Genomic DNA, 19,300 nt, shown 5'->3' with positions numbered 1-19,300 from the left:
CATTCTTTGTTTTATATTTTATCTCTTCTATTATTGTATATAGTCACATATTGTATTTCCAGATAATCTGCCACTATATTATAAACCAGCTCACCAAGGACAGGGGATCTCCTATTCCAGCTCAACACATTATATTTACATGTGTCATAATAGGACAAAAATAATAACAGCAATAACACAGTGGGATTTCTCTATTCAGTGCATGTCATTTAAACTGTATACCTCTGCTTTAGTAGCAAAGAAAACAAATTTAGAGGAATATTAATGGTGTGTGTCCTGAAACTATAAAGACCTTGTTTATTGCATCTACATTAATAAACACCCAAAAGGAAAGACAATAATCTTTCAAACGCCAATTTTTTGCATGCATTGTGCACTCTAGGCTCTCCTACAGTGATCCTCTTTATACATGAAGTTTATTTTCCTTTTATGTCTACAATTATTCTATCTAATCTTTTACCATCTTAGGGTCACAATGAATGTTTTCACAAAAAAACACAATATAGGATCCAAACAACTCAAAATACTGCCTCAGTTTCCCTTGACACTCATATTAAATATATCATAGTGCACAGACACATATATATAAGGTATTTTTTTCTTTTGTTATCTCTACTAATAAATTATCTGGAAATATAATATGTGACTATATATAAGACTTTTTTACATTTTTGTATTTATAATGAAATTATCTAGGACATTATATATATGTATATGTATATACACATATATATGCCAAAGATTCTTAGCTTTACATATATAATCCATTTTCAGGAACATGGTAAATACATACTATAATGCCTTTTCTCTTGCTGAGTGAATAAAAATGGAGAAAGATAAAACAATTAATTTAAATTCAATTAGAAAATGTATTGCAAGTTTGTTAGCCCCATGTTATTAGGGTGAAAGGAAAAATAAACCAGGCTGGCCTGAGGAGGAGTGCTGAAGAGGGCTTTCCCAACGTTGAGCCTTAGATTTGGATGCTTATTGAAGGAATGGGGACATTGGTAGTGCAGAAAACAGCAGTGGGAAAGAATATAACTGAGAAAAATTAAATCCAATGCCTTGTAACTTTTTTTAGCACTCAAAACACTTAAGACTAAAAGTTTTAAAGGCAAGGCCCTTCTACCTATAGGGTAGATAATAAAGAATCCAGACATTGTGTTAGACATTCCTTGGTTTGAATCCAAGCTCTCTACTTCTTTATAAAGCTATATGATCATGAAATGATGATTTCATTTCTTAGAGCTTTAATTATTTTATGTTTAAAATGACAATTATAATACTAGAGTTGTTGTAAAGATTACTTGAGATATAGTTATTTAAATTATTACTATGAAATATGCTTGGTTTAGTACCTGGTATGTAATAAATACTCAGCTGTCTATGACATAGCACGTATGTTAGGATCATGCTTGTATTTTATTATCTTCTTAAAAAAATTCCCCATATATAAATTCACAGATTCCTTGCAGTAACATTCTTCCCCCTCACACCCTCCCTGCCGCTAGGGTTTGAAGTCTATTGTTGAGAGCCATGGGCACAGTATGTTTACATGTGGTGGTAAGAAATCTTTCATCTTGAGAGTTAGTGGGAAATAATGTCGAATAGAGAAAGTGGGGCCATGCAGCAAGATTTTGAAAACTAAACGCAAGAATTTGGGCTTAATACATGAGTTAAGGCAGAAAGATTTTAGATTTCAGATTTTTTGACTGGGAGAAAGCAGAAGGAAGTTGTATTTTTAAACTATGAGTTAGTCTGGGAGGGGTAGTGGTAGTTAATTGAGAGAGATGAAGAAATACTAGTGGCGGGGAACATAATTTAGGCTTAGGGCTGTGAGGATCTTGAAATATGAGAATAGGGAAGAATTTTCAAACTGAGAAATAGCTCTTAAAAAAAGTCATATCTGAGTGATAGATCAGATATAAAATATGAAGAGGGAAGAGGCCAAAACAGTAGAAAAAGCATATGTGGAATTCAGGTCAGGTTATTTATGTTGTCCTGTATTTGTCCTGATAAGAATAGATGGATATATGAACATTTTCAGAGGTTAATTTTACTTAGATGTTTCTACAATAATTTTGGACCCAGATATTATTTTCTTATAGAGCAGCACTGATTTTAAACAAAGACAAAGCTATATTTTTCTAGGGTTATGAAAACATGTATTGTCTCAAAAATATGTTGCCAATGCACTGAATTTGAATAAAAGTTTCACTGTCTTTTCTTCCAGACTTAAAATTGCAATTTGGAGACATTAGTAACTTCAACTAAAAAAGAAAGAAAAAAAAGGGTGCTATTTTGATAAAATGTGAGACAAATGCACACGATTCCTTATCCTAACAGTAAGCAAATGTGTAATGGAAACTTTGACCCACAAGCATTCCATTTAGAGGATAAGGATATATGGTAAACAGTGTTTCACAATTTTGTATAGAATCATTCTACATGTAATTAAATCAGCATCTTTACACAGTAGTAGAGTAGGAGATTAAGAGTAACAAATTTGATGAACAGAATCAGAATATCTAAGCCTGAAGAGGTAGGAAAAATTCCCTTTAAGAAGCTATTACCGTGGTAGAATTTTTGTAGGTAAGAAATATTATGTCAAACTATTTACTGATCTTATCCAAAAAAGTTTATGAAACACATACCTTATGTGTAGAATTACTTTCATATCAACGTCAGTTAAAACTTAATTAATGTAAAACTATACAGAAAACTCCAGTTAGGCATTTAAAAAGAAAATCTGGCAGCATTGTGAAATTGTTACTGTCATTTCTACAGTTGTTACCACACTTGACAACAATGGCCTTATCTGTTCTTTCTCCTTTGCTAGTCTACCATGCATTGGGCTAAGAAAACATGATCAACTTGTTTTTCTTAGTTGTTTTTAACTTTGTATATATAAAGGATATCAAGCTGTGTGTGACATTTTGTAACAAATGTTTTCTCTTAATACTATATTCTGTATGAAGAGATAGACTGATACTGTAAACATAGCACTTTTCTTCTCTTACCTTATTACCTTGGCTAGAATTTCAAATACAAAGTTGAATGTCAAAAGGAATGATTTTGATGGGAATAATTAATTAGGATGTTTGCCTTAAAGTTTCAGACATATTATTTATTAAATTACCAAAATTCTATTCCTAATAAACTGAGTTTTATAATAAATGGGATTAACTTTTATCAAATGCTTTTTTCTGAATTTGTTGAGATGATCATAGATTCTTTTTCTCTTTTAAATTATAAAATACACTTATGGGAAATCAAACTTGATGGTGGCAAATTATTTATAGCTTTTGAATTCAAAGTGTTAATAATATTTTGCTGAATATTTATAATAATGAGTGAAATGGGCCTATAGTTTTTCCTCCTCTAATGTCTTTGTATGATTTTGGTGTCAGTGAATTGGGACATATTCCCGCTTGCCTTTAAAGTTGTTTGGAAGCATTTTTACAAAATGGCATGATATATTTCTTGAAAATATGATACTTTTCCCCATAAAAGTATCTAGTTCAGATTTTTTCTTTGTGAAGTATGTTTAAAGTACCTTTTGATTCTTCAGTAATCATAATACGATTACCACTATTAATTACTTCTTCAGTCAGTAATTACATTTACTAAGTAATATTTTTCTAGAAAATTTTGCATTTTGTCTAAGCATTTACAATCAATGGCAAATTTTTGTCAACCGTGAGCATAGATCATTTCACTTATTTATTTCCAATGTGGGTAGCTTTTGTTACTTTTTTTGCCTAATTATTCTGGCTAAAACTTACAACGCTATGTTGAAGAGAAGTAGTGAAAATAGGCATCCTTATCTTGCTCCCTGTTGGTAGTATATCCCATTATGTTTTTATATTGGGGTAAAATATAAGTAACATAAAATTTACCATTCTAAACATTTTTAAGTGTACAATTCAAAGGCATTAAGTACATTCATAATGTATAACCATCACCACTATCCATTTCCTAAACTTTATCAATATCCCAAACAAAAACTCTGTACTCATTAAACAATAGCTCCCCTTATCTCTGAATCTCCAGATCCTGATAACCTTTGGTCTACTTTCTGTCTCTATGAATTTCACTATTCTAGGTACCTCATATAAGTAAAATAATACAATATATATCCTATTGTGGTTGGCTTATTTCACTTAGCATAATTTTTTCAAGTTTCACCCATGTTGCAGCATTCATCAGAATTTCATTCCTTTTAAGCCTATTCCATTATGTGTATACACCACATTTTGTTTATCTATTCATCTGTTGATGGACATTTGACTATTGTAAATAATGCTAATATGAATACTGGTGTACAATTATCTGTTTAAGTCCCTGCTTTCAATTCTTTTGGATACATACTTAGAAGTGAAATTACTGGATCATATGTTAATTCTATACTTACCTTTTGAGGAACTTCCATACTTCTTTCCACAATGGCTGCACCATTTCACGTTACCACCAGCACTCCTCAATTTTTCTTTTGATATTAGCCATCCTAATGAGATTGAAGTATTACATGGTAGCTTTGATTTGCATTTTCCTAATGACTAGTGATATTGGGCATCTTTTCATGTGCTTATTGGCCATTTGTATATATCTTAATTGGAGAAATGTCTATTCAAGTCTTTTGCCCATTTTGAAAATTGGGTTGTCATCATTCTAAGCAAACTATCACAAGGACAGAAAACCAAACACTGCATGTTCTCACTCAGAAGTGGGAGTTGAACAATGAGATCACATGGACACAGGGTGGGGAATATCAAACACCGGGGCTGGTCGGGGAGAGGGGGACTGGGGGAGGGATAGCATTAGGAGAAATACCTAATGTAAATGACAAGTTTATGGGTGCAGCAAACCAACATGGCACATGTATACCTATGTAACAACCTGCACGTTGTGCATATGTACCCTAGAACTTAAAGTATAATAAAATAAATAAATGAAATTGGGTTGTTAGTTTTTGTTGTTGAGTTTAAGATTTGTTTTTATGTATATATTCTGGATCTTAATCTCTTAAGAAATACATGATCGGCCAGTAGCTTCTCCCCCTGTGAGGGTTGTTTTATAGATTTTTTTCTTATGTTTATGTATTTGATCCATTTTGAGTTAATTTTTGTATGTGGTGTTAGGTAAACATCTAACTTCATTCTTTTGCATGATGATAGCCAGTTTTTCCAACACCATTTGTTGAAAAGAATTCCTTTCCCCACTGAGTGGTCTTGGCACCTTTGTCAAAAATCATTTGACCATAAAATAGAGAGTTTATTTCTGGACTTGCTATTATACTCCCTAGGTCTATATATCTTATTGTCAGACTCACACTAGCACAGATTTAGATAACTGCAGCTTTGTAATAAGTTTTGAAATCTAGAAGTGTGAGTGCTCCAACTTTGTTCTTTCACAAGATTGTTTTGATTCTGCAGGGTCCCTTGAGATTTCATGTGAATTTAAAATGCATTTTTCTATTTCTTTAAAAAATGCAGTTGGAATTTGATAAAAATTGTATTGAGTTTTAGACTGCTTTAGATAGTATTGCAATGTTACAATATTATTTCTTTTCATCCATGAACACAAAATGCCTTTCCACTTATTTATGATTTCTTTCATTTCATTCAGCAGTATTTTTTAGTTTTCAGTGTATAAGCCTTTCGCTTCTCGGGTTAAGTTTATTCCTAAGTATTTCATTCCTTTTGATGCTATTTAAATGGAATAGTTTTCTTAATTTCTTTTTCAGTTTGTTCATGGTTCATGTGTAGAAATGCAACTGATTTTTGAGCTAATAAATGAGTTCAGCTAAGCTGCAGTACATAAAATCAGCACACAGTTTGATGGTGTATGTGCGTGTGTGCATGTGTGTGTGTAAGTGTAGAATCTTAGGGAGGGTTTTCTTAATATGAGATCGTGTCAACAGTTAGCAGAGATCATTTCATTTATTCCTTTCCAATATGGATAGCTTTTGTTACTTTTTCTTGCCTGGTTATTCTCACCTAAATTTACAATACTGTGTTGAATAGAAGTAGTGAAAACAGGCATCCTTATCTTGCTCCTAAGCTTAGTGGAGAAACTTTTTACCTTTTAAATCTAATGTACTGTTGTTACTTTCTCCTTTCATTTGAAATGTTATTCATTTAATCAGTTTTGCCAGAAGCATGTCAATCTTGTTAATTTTTTTTCAAACAAAAACAAGCTTTGGTTTATGAATCTATCTTTGTATTGTTTTGTTCTTCACTGATTTACGGCCTTATTATATTATCTATTCTAGTTTCTTTGGATTTATTTGGTTATTTCCCCTTTTTTTAAAAGAATGATGGTTAATTTATATAATTCAAAAATGAATCTATTTTTATCATTTATTATTTAAGGCTATGAATTTTCTTTAAAGCATTGTTTTGCCATATTCTAGACATTTTTACATGTGTTTTATCTCTGTTGTATTTTAAAATTCCACTATGATTTCATCTTAAACTTTGAGGTTTTTAACAATTTTCTAAAATTTCAAAATATTTTGGCAATCACTCTATGAAATGTGTTGAGGGTTTCTTTTGACTGAGCACCTAGTCAGTTTTTGTATATGTTCCATATGTACTTGAGAAAACTGTATTCACTATTTCTTCATGTGAAACTATATACAAGTCTATTGGGCTGAGATTTAACATTTATTGTTCCAGTCTTCTGTAGCATTACTGATTATTTTTGTCTGCTTGACTTTTCAAAAATGAAGAGATGTGTGTTAAAGTCTTCCACTATTTTTGGTGTATTTATTCATTTCCCCTTGTAGTTCTAAACATTTTGTTTCACATATCTGGAGGTTACTTTATTAGGAGCACACATGCTTGTAATTGTTATACCTTTTAGGAATAGTGACTCATTATCCCTAATAATTTTTTAAGCGTGAAAGCCCTTTTTCTGATATTAATATAGCTACATCAGTTTCCCCATGGATATCATCTGCTGGATATGTCTTTTTCCATTCTTTAAGTTTTAATCTTTATGTGTCCTTTTACTGTGTGGATATGTCTCTTGTAAGATACTTTTATCTAGTTCCTGTTTTCTTACTTTATCTGTCAATCCTTTACCTAGGGAGTCTGACCTGTTTAGATCAATTATTATTATTGATATGTTTTCACTTGCTCTTCTTAATTCATTTTTGTGCCCCATTTTTAAGTTTCTCCTTAATACATTCTTACCACTTTCACATCCTTTGGCTTCCCTGCGACAGCAACCCAATTGTGCTGATATTATCTGGATCGAGTTACATGGTTATGTGTTTCACTCAATCTTTGATCTTGGATCCACTGCCATTATTTATTCCGCAATCACTTTACCAAGATATTCGATCAATTTTATTTTATATTTTTGAGCATATTCTTTAAATATCTCTACTTATTTAAGCATTTCACCCCAACTTTTTCCAGTGTTAGTCTTTATGGGATAAACTTTCTTAAGCATTGTATGCCTAAGAATATATTTTATCATGGCCTCATGTGTGAATGACATTTGAGCTGGATATAAAACTATAAAACTTCGTTTTATTTTCTTTCAATGTTTTAAAATACAGATTTGTTTTATTTTTCCATTCAGTTTTGCTACTGAAAAGTCTTATATTAATTGGACTTTTGTTCTTTGTACACAATCTTTCTTTCTAGGCTTTTAGATTTTTTTCTCTTTATTATTGTATATTATTTCATTTTAGTATAATATATCTGAATGCAGGTCTTTTCTATCATTCTTATTAGGCATTCTATAAACACTTTGATTTTTAAATGAAAATAAAATAATGATAACTTATGGTGAAATAAAATACTGTCGCCCATTGATTACTATTAATTCTTAAAAATGTGTCTCCGTTACTTTAAAAAATTCTTTCTTCCAATATTATTTTTCTCTCTTTTCGAAACTCCTGTTATCTGTAATTTAGTTCTAATAATTCTATTCCCTGTATTGTTTAGGTGTTCTTTCATATGTTCTATTTCTTAGTCTTTTTCCTTATCCTCCTGGGAGATTACTTTAAAAATTTGGCTTTATATTTTACCAATTCGTTTATTCCTTTTTTATTGTTTCCATTATGTTATTTTTCCATTCTATAGGATTTTTTTTCTAAGCATTCTATTTCTCATATCTCTCATTTCTCCTTGGTCTCTTTGGTCATTATGTTTACTGTTCATTATTTTATATCACAAGTTATTACAAATACCTTTGATGTTATTTATAATGGTGTTTGTTGCCTTACTTTTGAAATAGTCATTTTCCTCAAATATTTTGATATTTTGACCTGCTAGCTCATTTTCTTCAGGAAATATTAGTTACTGTAGATAGCAGTGTATATGTGGAAAGGTTAGACTCTATTTGTTTCAGTCCCTATGACTTCAGCGTGGAGATGTGAATAAAATCTACGGCGAAGAGCCTCTGATACCAGGAAACTACTGTTATTCACTCCTCACCTCAAAGCAGTTTCTCAGATCAGGAGTTCACTTTTTTCTATCAGAAAGAAGTATTGCCTTATAGAGAAGTAGACTCTGCTCTATCAGGCCTTCTCTCTCACTTTGTTGACTGGATTTTATAATAAATTATTTATTTTATGTCTTTAAAGTTTGTGAATTTTTTGTTAATAATAATGTTTGCCTATTGTCACATCAAAGATTTTGCTTTACTGAGAAAGCAACCTTTTAAAAATATCATAATAAATATTTCTTCATAAAATAGGTATTCATTTGCCTACTGATCTACAAAATTAAGTTAAAACTTGGACTTTATTACCTAAGTTACTTATACCTTTGACAAATGTTGATAGAAGTTTTCTTTGTAAACTTTTTCACAGGTGAATGCAATCTGTACATTTTCACTAACACTGGACTCTTACATCTTTTAATGGAGAAAATGCACTTTAGGTTACATGAAGTGTATTACACACTTTGAAACTGAACTCAATTGTTTAATGATATTCAAAAAGTGATGAGCCATTTACATGAAATAGAGAAGTACCTATAGCATAAAATTAAATAGGATATTAATTATTGTGCTTTAGGGCATAAATTAGACAATAACCAAGATCAGAAGAATATGCAATACGGCTACAGTTCAGCCGGATTAGATTCATTATCAGAATTTAAACCCCATTTCTAAGGAATAATGCACTGGGTGCTGTCTGACTAGGTAATATGGAGGCAAGGAAATGCTATAGTTAGGTACCTCTTACTTTATTGTTGCGGTATATCTGTAATATGGCTCCTTTTCTTCCTTAACATTTCTGCAACTTGCCACTTCTTCATTGAAGTCCATCTGAATTCAGGCTCTTCAGAGGGAAAGTGCCCTTTTCCTAGTTCTGTCCCCCTCACTCCCTTTTTGTTCAACGTGTCCATTATGCTTCTCAAAGGCACAGTGGAAATGTGCAATTCAAGCTGGTGATGCCTCAGCTCATAACCAACAGGCCTTTCAAAAATGACCTTGGAAAATTTACACTTTAAAAAGTATGGCTAAGTGAGTCACATCTTAGAAAAACATCTGCTTTTTGGATTTCTTCCAAAGAATAATTGTATTTATTTGATACTAACACACATTGTCTGCCTAATTTGCTCAACTTTGTCCCTATTTTACAGATGAGAAAATTGAGGAGAAATAGCTGATGACTCCAATAGGTGGCTTTTATAGCTCCCTTCCAAGACCCATAAAGCAAAAATTCTCTTACAATTAAGTTTATATAAAGTAAACGTGAAGAGTCCTAATAGAGTTAATAATGAAAAAATATGAAAAAATACATCTGAGAGCCATATAAGTCTAAAATGTCCTTATTGATATGCATATAAACTGACGTGATTTCAACTGTATTTTCCAATTTTTCCCCTCAGGTATATACAACATTTATTATATATACTGTAATAGATTATTATCTCAGAAACTAATTTTGGATATAATATGTCCTTTCTTCATATTTACTTCCTGTCTGATTTTATCAGTTCTCTCAAATTGAATTGGAGTTTTGCAAAAAGTGGGTTGTGAAGTTAGATTCTTCATGAAGACTTGTTAAAGCATTGTTTTATTATATGTTTTATTCCTAGTCATTGAGGAAATAAAAAAAATTGCTTCTTATTCAGCTCTTGGTTTATTGCACAGAAGTGGAAGAAAGATACTCACAATGGAAATATCTTAAAATTTCAAATCCTGCATAGTGAATGCAGCTTGTTCTGGAATAATGAGTATTAACCTGAAATATGAATATTACTTAAATGTTATTTTCTTGGGAAATCAAATCAATAAGCACACTTTGAATAATGAATTGGTGCAATTTTGAATTGTGTATAAAGCAACTTAGGTTTTCTGAAAAATTGTTCCCAAGAAGCAGTTCAAGAATTGCAGTGTTGCTATAATTGGATGTACCCTATATTCACTAGAGGCAAAAGTAGTTTTAGACTACTTTTGGTTACCAGCTGGGATATTTATAATAATCTAGAACATTAAGTGTACAATGAGAAAAAGTATGCCTTCCAGGAAGGGAAGAGTTTCTCATTTAATTAACAGTGTAAAACACCTCTTGACTGTGAGTTGCTGGTAGCACTGATGGTATTAAGAAGGGTCCCAAAATGTTCAACCGTTATACCTAATTTGTGGGATGTGGTGAACTTTCCAGCTTTGCAAAGATGTATATTGATTTTTGTCCAAAATAATATTTTTAATTACATCCATTTATAACCAGGTCATATGCTGGATCAAACTTCCATAACTTTGTAAATATTAATAGGAATTTTCCTTCATACATGAACTGATTTCTCTTTTTGCTTAAACACATATAACTTTTTTTCAGCGCATCTTATCTGTAAGCATTTTATAATGCATCTTTTAAAAAGTTAATGCATACTCGTCTTGTTTAAAAGCAAAATGCCCCAAATTAGAAATTATTATTAACAAAATGCCACATTTAAAGTGGAAAATGTAATATATATAACTAAATATATCAATTTGCACAGAAGGTTTTTATTAATCTTTTCTTCCTTTTTCCTCTCAAGTTATCTGGAAGTATTTTGGATGTGTATAGCGGTGAACAAGGAATTTCACCAATTAACATGGGGCTTACAAGTGCTTCTTGTCCAAGTAGTCTACCAATGAAAAGAGAAATTACAGGTAATGTTGCTTTTATAGTTTTACCCTTTTTATTTTTATTAATGACATAAGTTATGAGTGACATATATTGTGCTAACTAGGATTTTAAAAGTATAACAAAACAGTTACAAAAAAGAAGGCAGACAGTAAATTCATCTTTTCTTTTTATGATAATCAAGCAGTAAGTTAAAATAACTTATAGTTTGACTGAATTGATTCATTATTTTGGAAATTGAGCAAATGCACATATATGTTTTACATACATATATACATGTATATACACACATATATACATACATATATAAAAGACAGCTTCATTTAACATAGGCTCATTTTTATATTAAATAGATGCCATTTATTAACATGGTTACAAAGTGAAATAATAAATTAGAGAAATTAGTCTATTCTTTGTATGCAGAATTTGATAAAAAACAAATATTGGATTTTTTTTTCTTTTTAGCTTGTTTTATGGATTTCATGATAGACTCACATTTAATTTTCTTAATTGAAAATAAACCCTGAGTTTTCAATAGTTTATTTTAATTGTTACAACTCAAATTATAGGAGCATAGTCAAATTCTTCCAAAATAAATGAGGAAATCAACCCAGGGTCAAAGGAGCTACTTTCCTAAAGGTGTAACAGCTGATTACAGGCAGAACTGGATCAACGTAAGGGTTTCCTGACTTCCAAGTCCAGTGTTAGATCCTCCGTAAGAATAAAGTAAATAAATTCACTTGAGATTTCTGCAATAAACTTTTGGTTTGGAGCTCAAACACCACGGTAAAATTTTAAATAAATACAACATGACCACTCTTAAAGCTCAATCAATAATTCAAAAATGTCTATGCATCCAAATTATTCAGACTAAAATTAATGACTATAGTTTTAAATAAATACATTTAAATAAAATGTATTATCTTATTAACTTTTTAAACTATAACTCTAATAATATTGTATTATTTTTGTTGCATAACAACAAATTACCCCTGAAATTTAGCAACTTGAAGTAATAAACATTTATAATCTCAAAGTAATAAACATTTATAATCTCATTCAGTCTTTGAGCATCAAGAATCCAGGAGTGGCCTAGTGAATTCGTTCAGACCAGAATCTCTTATGAGGCTGTAGTCAAGATGTCAGCCAGAAGTACAGACACCTGAGACTTGACTGAGGCTGGAGGATGCACTCCCGAGGTGTTTCACTCAAGTTCTTGTAGGATAGTGCTTCCTGTTGGCAAGTGGTCTTTGTCCCTGACTGCTTGGACTTCTTCATAGGGTTGCTTGAGTGTCCTCATGACATGACAACTAGAGATCAAAGAGATGCCAATGTGAAAGTTAAAAATTTCTCCTATTATCTAGCCTTGGATACCATACTAGTCATTTCCACAACAAGCTAGTGGCTTCACAGGTCAGCCTTATTTATTTAATGTGGGAGGGAATTACAAGGTGTGAATACTACAAATTAAGAATCATTGTAGGCCATCCTGGAGGTTGATGGTCATATAAATACAACCACACCATATATACAGGGAAGTGCCATTTACTGGAAGAAAGTGTGGAAGTGTTTCATATGGATATTTGAGAAATATAGTGAGTTGCAACTCTTGGGATGTAGAAATAATAATTACTAATAAAATATTTAGGTTGGAATAATTTCTGAATCTCAAAATTCTGAAAATAATAATTGAATACTATATTTTCTGTATACTATATTTCTTTTGGTTATCACAATGATTTTAAGGTAGGTATTGTATTATAGTCATTTTACAGATGAAGAGCCTGAAACACAGAGAAGTGTGGCAATAGATCACATGGCTATTAAATGGAGGGCCAGAAAATAAATTCAGTTTTTATTATCCCAGAGCCTAAAAGCTTTGCCATTGCCTTTCACTGAAGAGTACTGTTTTCCAAATTTCTGAATATTTGCATCAAAAATATTATTGTACCGTTTTGGAGCAAATAATATTTTATTTTCACCTAGGAGTTCTGAATTATGTTGCCTGGAGGGGTTTTAAGGTAGAACTAAGCATGGTTTTTATTATTTTTCTTTTGATCAGAAACTGACACTAGAGCTTTAGCAAAAGAGAGACAAAAAAAGGACAACCACAACCTCAGTGAGTATATATTTTTCCATATAAAATTAATGCAAAAGGAAATGCATAGAGGTTAAGGTGTGTGGTCTTTTATTATACTCCATAAGTATTTTCATGTCAGATGGCCAAAATTAATTGCACATATAACTTGATTTATTTTGGGAAATATTAACAATGTGAGCTCTCAGAAAAGCTATCTATTTTCACAAAATGAAACATCTCGAATTCCCTCCTTGATCATTCACTTCCAAGGAGGCTGCCTGTGACTGAGATGAGTGCATTTGGTTACATTTGAATTCTGTTGTGACTCACTGACTCAAAGGTTTAAAGAGATAAAAGTGACTTTTGAAAATGTACAACATTTAAATAATAAGAAACATAACTCCAGGTTCTCATTTTTCTGTGTCAATTTGCTCCTCCTTTCTTAATGATATGTTATCTGAAAGGCATTGCTGTGTTGCAGTGCTGAATTTCACCTCTGGAACAAATAGAGCCCTCATGCCTTCCTAAGGGTCAATTAGACTCTGATAACAGGTCATATGAGATGGAGAAATCGGGCAAGAAAAGTAGATTGGCAGCGAGGCTGAGCTTTAGAATGCTTGGTCATGTCTTAAATGTGTAACTGTCTCAAGTGAGCTTGACTAATTGAGTGTGAAGCCTTTTCGTTCTGGAAGCCAAATCAAAAACTGAGAACAGAGTAGAATGAAATTAAAATAAATAAAATATTGCAAATTCCTAAAACTAATGACTAATTTCCTTATGTATCGCTAGCTGAAATTGAGTATACACGTACTTGTGAAACCTGCATCTGTTCATAAAGCACCTGCCTGTGTCACAGTGATGTTTGCTGAGTGTGTGACTGTAAGACAAGAGCTGGCACATGGTCATAACAGTCCTCTGAGAAATGATTTTATTCTCAAAGGCTTTAGTGTCAGAGCAGATAACTTTGGTCCAGATTATGAGTGGGGAGAGCTAATGGTTGAGAGAAGGGATTAGTAAATTGAGGAACTTTTGGACTTTTCTCTTAATCAGCCACTTAACGATTACTGACCTTAATCCTACCTTCTCTCTTCTGTGTCTGCAGCTTAAACAAGTCATTTAATGTAGAGTAACATGGTGTCCTGTATATCCATTATCGAAGTGTTTCTTAATCTAGATACACCTGCTACATCATCTTGCTTTTGGAGGAAACAAACACTTAAAAAATTATAAGTTTTAAATAGAATGAATCTAGAAAAACCCTAAAAACTTGTGATGATCATAGCAAAATTACAAAGTAAGTCCAATTTACCAGAAGTTTACATAAAATTATGTTCCATTCTTCATAAAGACCCAGAGGCCAGGAGTGAATTTAGAATTTTCAGCTCATAGGATTTTGGCGTGAAAATGTCAGGGCAGGGCAGTGTCAGCTCTCAGCTTGCAGCCCCCCACTGTTCTTTCTGCACCCCCTATTCCATTCTGTGCTACAAGTGGCCTCAAATGTGACGGTGAACACCCTGTCCTGTACATTCAAGCTCCATATACAGCCCTGCAAACAACTGCCCATTGGTCAGAACTGGGGCCCCCAGTGAGCACATCGGTGTCATGTTCTGTCTTCAGGAGGATGGACCCAGGGAGGTGGTCTGCACAGGCTCTGGAAGTGAACTCAGGGAATTAGGGAGGAAATTGCTTGTGCCGATAACCCAGAGTATAGTTTAGAAGGGTTCCCTTGGCCCTGTGGCTGCCTTGCTGAGTGGAGAGAGGCATGGCCAGAGAAGGCAAGAGTGCTTCCTCTAAATATTGATCAGAGTAAGAGCCTCTCTTGCCTGGATCTAAGTACAGGATTAAGTGAATATGTCAAAAACTTTGTGAAGAGTGAAACCACCATGACATGAAGTAGTTTAGTAATTTCTTAAAACTTGACTCCTTTATAAGTAACTAGTACTAGGTATGAACACCATTGGGAGCCAGATTTCTCATTCTAATTAGCCATTTAAAAATTCATAGACTACTACCTAAGAAGAGTAGAGAAGAAGGTTCTGACATTCTACATCAGATAAATTTAAATAAAATATCTTAAAGAAATGTGACAGGACAAAAACAGTCCCTTATTTTGAGAAAAAAATCTCTGAACTTCCTTCATAGTTGTTCTTCATCTTGTATTTAAAAGTCTGGCTTATAAGAGTTAATGTGTGTGGACACAAAATTATTAAGAAATTCTTATTATTTTATATGTGCATATGTTATATATATACATTTCTATATAAGTATATATGTATTATATGTGTGTATATATGTTTCTATTAGCTTTACCTTTATTTTCTAGTCAGTGTTTTTTGTGGTGTCATTTTGCTGTTATTTGAATTATGTGCACAGGGGAAATAGGATTGGTGAAGAGGGAAAATAAACTCTTACCAGAACCAATTATATTCTCATTTTAGAGGAATCACAATGTATTATTCCTAAAGGTCAAATTCATTCATGTAATTTGCTTTGTAGAGTAAGTTCACCAAGGCAATTGATAGTCTTTGATGACTTTCCTTGTTTCTAGTAGCAGTTCATAATTCTCAAATGTGAACTGTTTAAGTATTTTCCAACATTTAAAAAAATATATTTTCCTTCTTCTTCATATCCTTTTCTACCTTTACTTCCCCAAAAGCTTTAAACATATCTGTTGAAAAAGATACCATGTATAAGTATATGTTATGGTTCTTGATATTAGGAATATAGAGTAGAAGACTGCTCTTAGAGAAGAGTAATACAGGAAATTTGACAGATATATATTGTATGTTGAACATTTACGATGTTCAGAAAATTGCCATAAGCAATGAATGTATGGAAATGCAAAAAGAGAAAACAGTCTCTGAATAAGAGCTTATATCAGCAGTTTTCAAAGCATTGGCCCCACAAAAACAGTATCAGCATCACCATGAAACTTGTTAGAAATGGAAATTCTTGCCCACTCTTGTCCCCCTACTTCCAGGACACACTAAAATTAGAATCTTTAAGTGTGTGGTGCAAATCTATTTTAACAATCCTTCCAGGTGTGTCTAAAGAGTGCCAAAGTATAAAAACCACTTATTTATATATTATTGGAAACTAAAATAGAAAAATAAATTTACAGCCTAATCAATATACATTTATTTACCACCTCCTATATGTCAAGCTCTCTGGTGATACAAAAATAAGTAAGTTAGGTCCCTGCCCTCAAGGAGGTCATAGAGTCTAATTGGATACACAGACCTACTATGTGCTAAACATTGCGTTAGGCTTTGAGGACAGTATATGAGAAGAGTAAAGAGTGTTGCACGACCTCGAATGATTACAATCCTGATGGACTGACAAATTGCCAATGTGTGAAATAATCAAAGAGTTATACATGTTAATATATACTTATACACATTTCATTATGAGTATTATAGTATTTTAAGGAATTTTTAAAAATGTTTTGTGACAAAATGTTTTTAAAACAGTGTAAATCATAGATTTATAATTCTAATATTGAAACCTTTACTTTTAGAATGAGAATTTTTATTTTATTCTTGAGAAGTATTATCTTTTGACTAAATGGAAAGTTTTTTTCCCATTGTTTTTAAAAGATTGTTAAAAATGTTTACAGCTGACCAAAAGTGAACTGTGCATTAATGAGAATAATCAATAATATTTCTTCTTTAATAGTTGAAAGAAGAAGAAGGTATAATATTAATTACCGAATCAAGGAGCTTGGCACTCTTATTCCAAAGTCTAATGATCCGTGAGTTCAACAATCATTTCTATAATAATGTTATAATTTAAAGACCCCCAAAATGAATGGGAGGGAAGAAGGGAGGAGAGAACCAATGACTAGGAAACTAAGCAGCTTATAGCAAAAATAAGGCTATTGCTGGGCTCATTTTAAAATGTCTATTCCAGTCTGATTGTTATTGAGCATCAGGGCTGTTACTAAGAGTTGTCCTCTTGAGCTATAAGAAGTAAATAAGTTATTTTTCCTCAGTTCATAGTGAGTCTTTCTGTATGGTGACAATATTGTCAAATTTAGTGATAATGTCAAATACTACTTATGATGCTGACTGGTATATTCAATTTTTATGAGTATAACAATTCTTCCAATTTAAAATTTGTGTGCAAGTGAAAATAGAATTGTTAGATTTTCCAAGGTCCCCGAATTTTGGAGACACACAAGTAACAAATGGAATCATAAAAGCATATTGATTGATGCTGACCAGGCTTTGTGCTGTATGCACAAAATGTCCATCAAACAAATTACTTACTCTTGTAAATATTGAGAAATAAAGTGTTAACTTAAAATGTTGAATGTTTCTTTAAAAATGTGAACGCCTGTAATCCCAGCACTTTGGGAGGCCAAGGCAGGCAGATCACTTGAGGTCAGGAGTTTAAGACCATCCTGGCCAACATGGTGAAACTCTGTCTCTATTAAAAATACAAAAGTTAGCCAGGTGTGGTGGTGCATGCCTGTAATCCCAGCTACTCAGGAGGCTGAGGTGGGAGAATTGCTTGAACCTAGGGGGCAGAGGTTGTGTTGAGCTAAGATCATGCCACTGCACTCCAGCCTGGGCAACAGAGCAAGACTCCATCTCAAAAAAAAAAAAAAGTGAAAACATGGAATCTGTAGCATTAATAATGATTTGAAAATATTTCATTAAAACTGAGAACTTTTGAGTAGGTTGCGAAAATTTTCTCCCATTTTGTAGGTTGCCTGTTCATTCTGATGGTAGTTTCCTTTGCTGTGCAGAAGCTCTTTAGTTTAATTAGATCCCATTTGTCAATTTTGGTTTTGGTTGCCATTGCTTTTGGTGTTTTAGACATGAAGTCCTTGCCCATGCCTAGGTCCTGAATGGTAATGCCTAGGTTTTCTTCTAGGGTTTTTATGGTTTTAGGTCTAACGTTTAAGTCTTTAATCCATCTTGAATTGATTTTTGTATAAGGTGTAAGGAAGGGATCCAGTTTCAGCTTTCTCCATATGGCTAGCCAGTTTTCCCAGCACCATTTATTAAATAGGGAATCCTTTCCCCATTGCTTGTTTTTCTCAGGTTTGTCAAAGATCAGATAGTTTTATATATGCGGTATTATTTCTGAGGGCTCTGTTCTGTTCCATTGATCTATATCTCTGTTTTGGTACTAGTACCATGCTGTTTTGGTTACTGTAGCCTTGTAGTATAGTTTGAAGTAAGGTAGTGTGATGCCTCCAGCTTTGTTCTTTTGGCTTAGGATTGACTTGGCGATGTAGGCTCTTTTTTGGTTCCATATGAACTTTAAAGTAGTTTTTTCCAATTCTGTGAAGAAAGTCATTGGTAGCTTGATGGGGATGGCATTGAATCTGTAAATTACCTTGGGCAGTATGGCCATTTTCACGATATTGATTCTTCCTACCCATGAGCATGGAATGTTCTTCCATTTCTTTGTATGCTCTTTTATTTCCTTGAGCAGTTGTTTGTAGTTCTCCTTGAAGAGGTCCTTCACATCCCTTTTAAGTTGGATTCCTAGGTATTTTATTCTCTTTGAAGCAATTATGAATGGGAGTTCACTCATGATTTGGCTCTCCGTTTGTCTGTTATTTGTGTATAAGAATGCTTGTGATTTTTGTACATTGATTTTGTATCCTGAGACTTTGCTGAAGTTGCTTATCAGCTTAAGGAGATTTTGGGCTGAGACAATGGGGTTTTCTACATATACAATCATGTCATCTGCAAACAGGGACAATTTGACTTCCTCTTTTCCTAATTGAATACCCTTTATTTCCTTCTCCTGCCTAATTGCCCTGGCCAGAACTTCCAACACTATGTTGAATAGGAGTGGTGAGAGAGGGCATCCCTGTCTTGTGCCAGTTTTCAAAGGGAATGCTTCCAGTTTTTGCCCATTCAGTATGATATTGGCTGTGGGTTTGTCATAGATAGCTCTTATTATTTTGAGATACGTCCCATCAATACCTAATTTATTGAGAGTTTTTAGCATGAAGGGTTGTTGAATTTTGTCAAAGGCCTTTTCTGCATCTTTTGAGATAATCATGTGGTTTTTGTCTTTGGTTCAGTTTATATGCCAGATTACATTTATTGATTTGCATATATTGAACCAGACTTGCATCCCAGGGATGAAGCCCACTT

At 32.8% G+C, this 19,300-nt stretch overlaps 1 protein-coding gene across 21 annotated transcripts in view; it reads left to right on the top strand.

Moving 5' to 3' along the window:
• TFEC (transcription factor EC) overlaps positions 1–19,300 on the top strand; it is a 224,745-nt gene that overhangs the window by 192,091 nt on the left and 13,354 nt on the right. For 18 of the 21 annotated variants that reach the window (XR_007059992.1, XM_011515970.2, XM_011515963.2 and 15 more), the window contains 3 exons: positions 11,013–11,127; positions 13,164–13,220; positions 16,857–16,932. Coding sequence is in view for 19 of the 21 variants with exons in the window: in XM_011515970.2 (XP_011514272.1) it covers positions 11,013–11,127; positions 13,164–13,220; positions 16,857–16,932 (248 nt within the window). In the remaining 2 variants the exon portion in view is untranslated. Of the gene's footprint in view, positions 1–8,738; positions 9,858–11,012; positions 11,128–13,163; positions 13,221–14,283; positions 14,476–16,856; positions 16,933–19,300 lie in introns of those variants that run through there. The other 3 variants (XR_007059993.1, XM_017011877.2, XM_011515969.2) reach the window with 3 other exon arrangements.

Source organism: Homo sapiens, chromosome 7, assembly GCF_000001405.40.
Source record: "Homo sapiens chromosome 7, GRCh38.p14 Primary Assembly".
In the NCBI taxonomy this organism is placed as follows: Eukaryota; Metazoa; Chordata; class Mammalia; order Primates; family Hominidae; genus Homo; species Homo sapiens.
The sequence above is the reverse complement of the archived record's forward strand: the minus strand, read 5'-3'. Positions and strand labels throughout refer to the sequence as shown.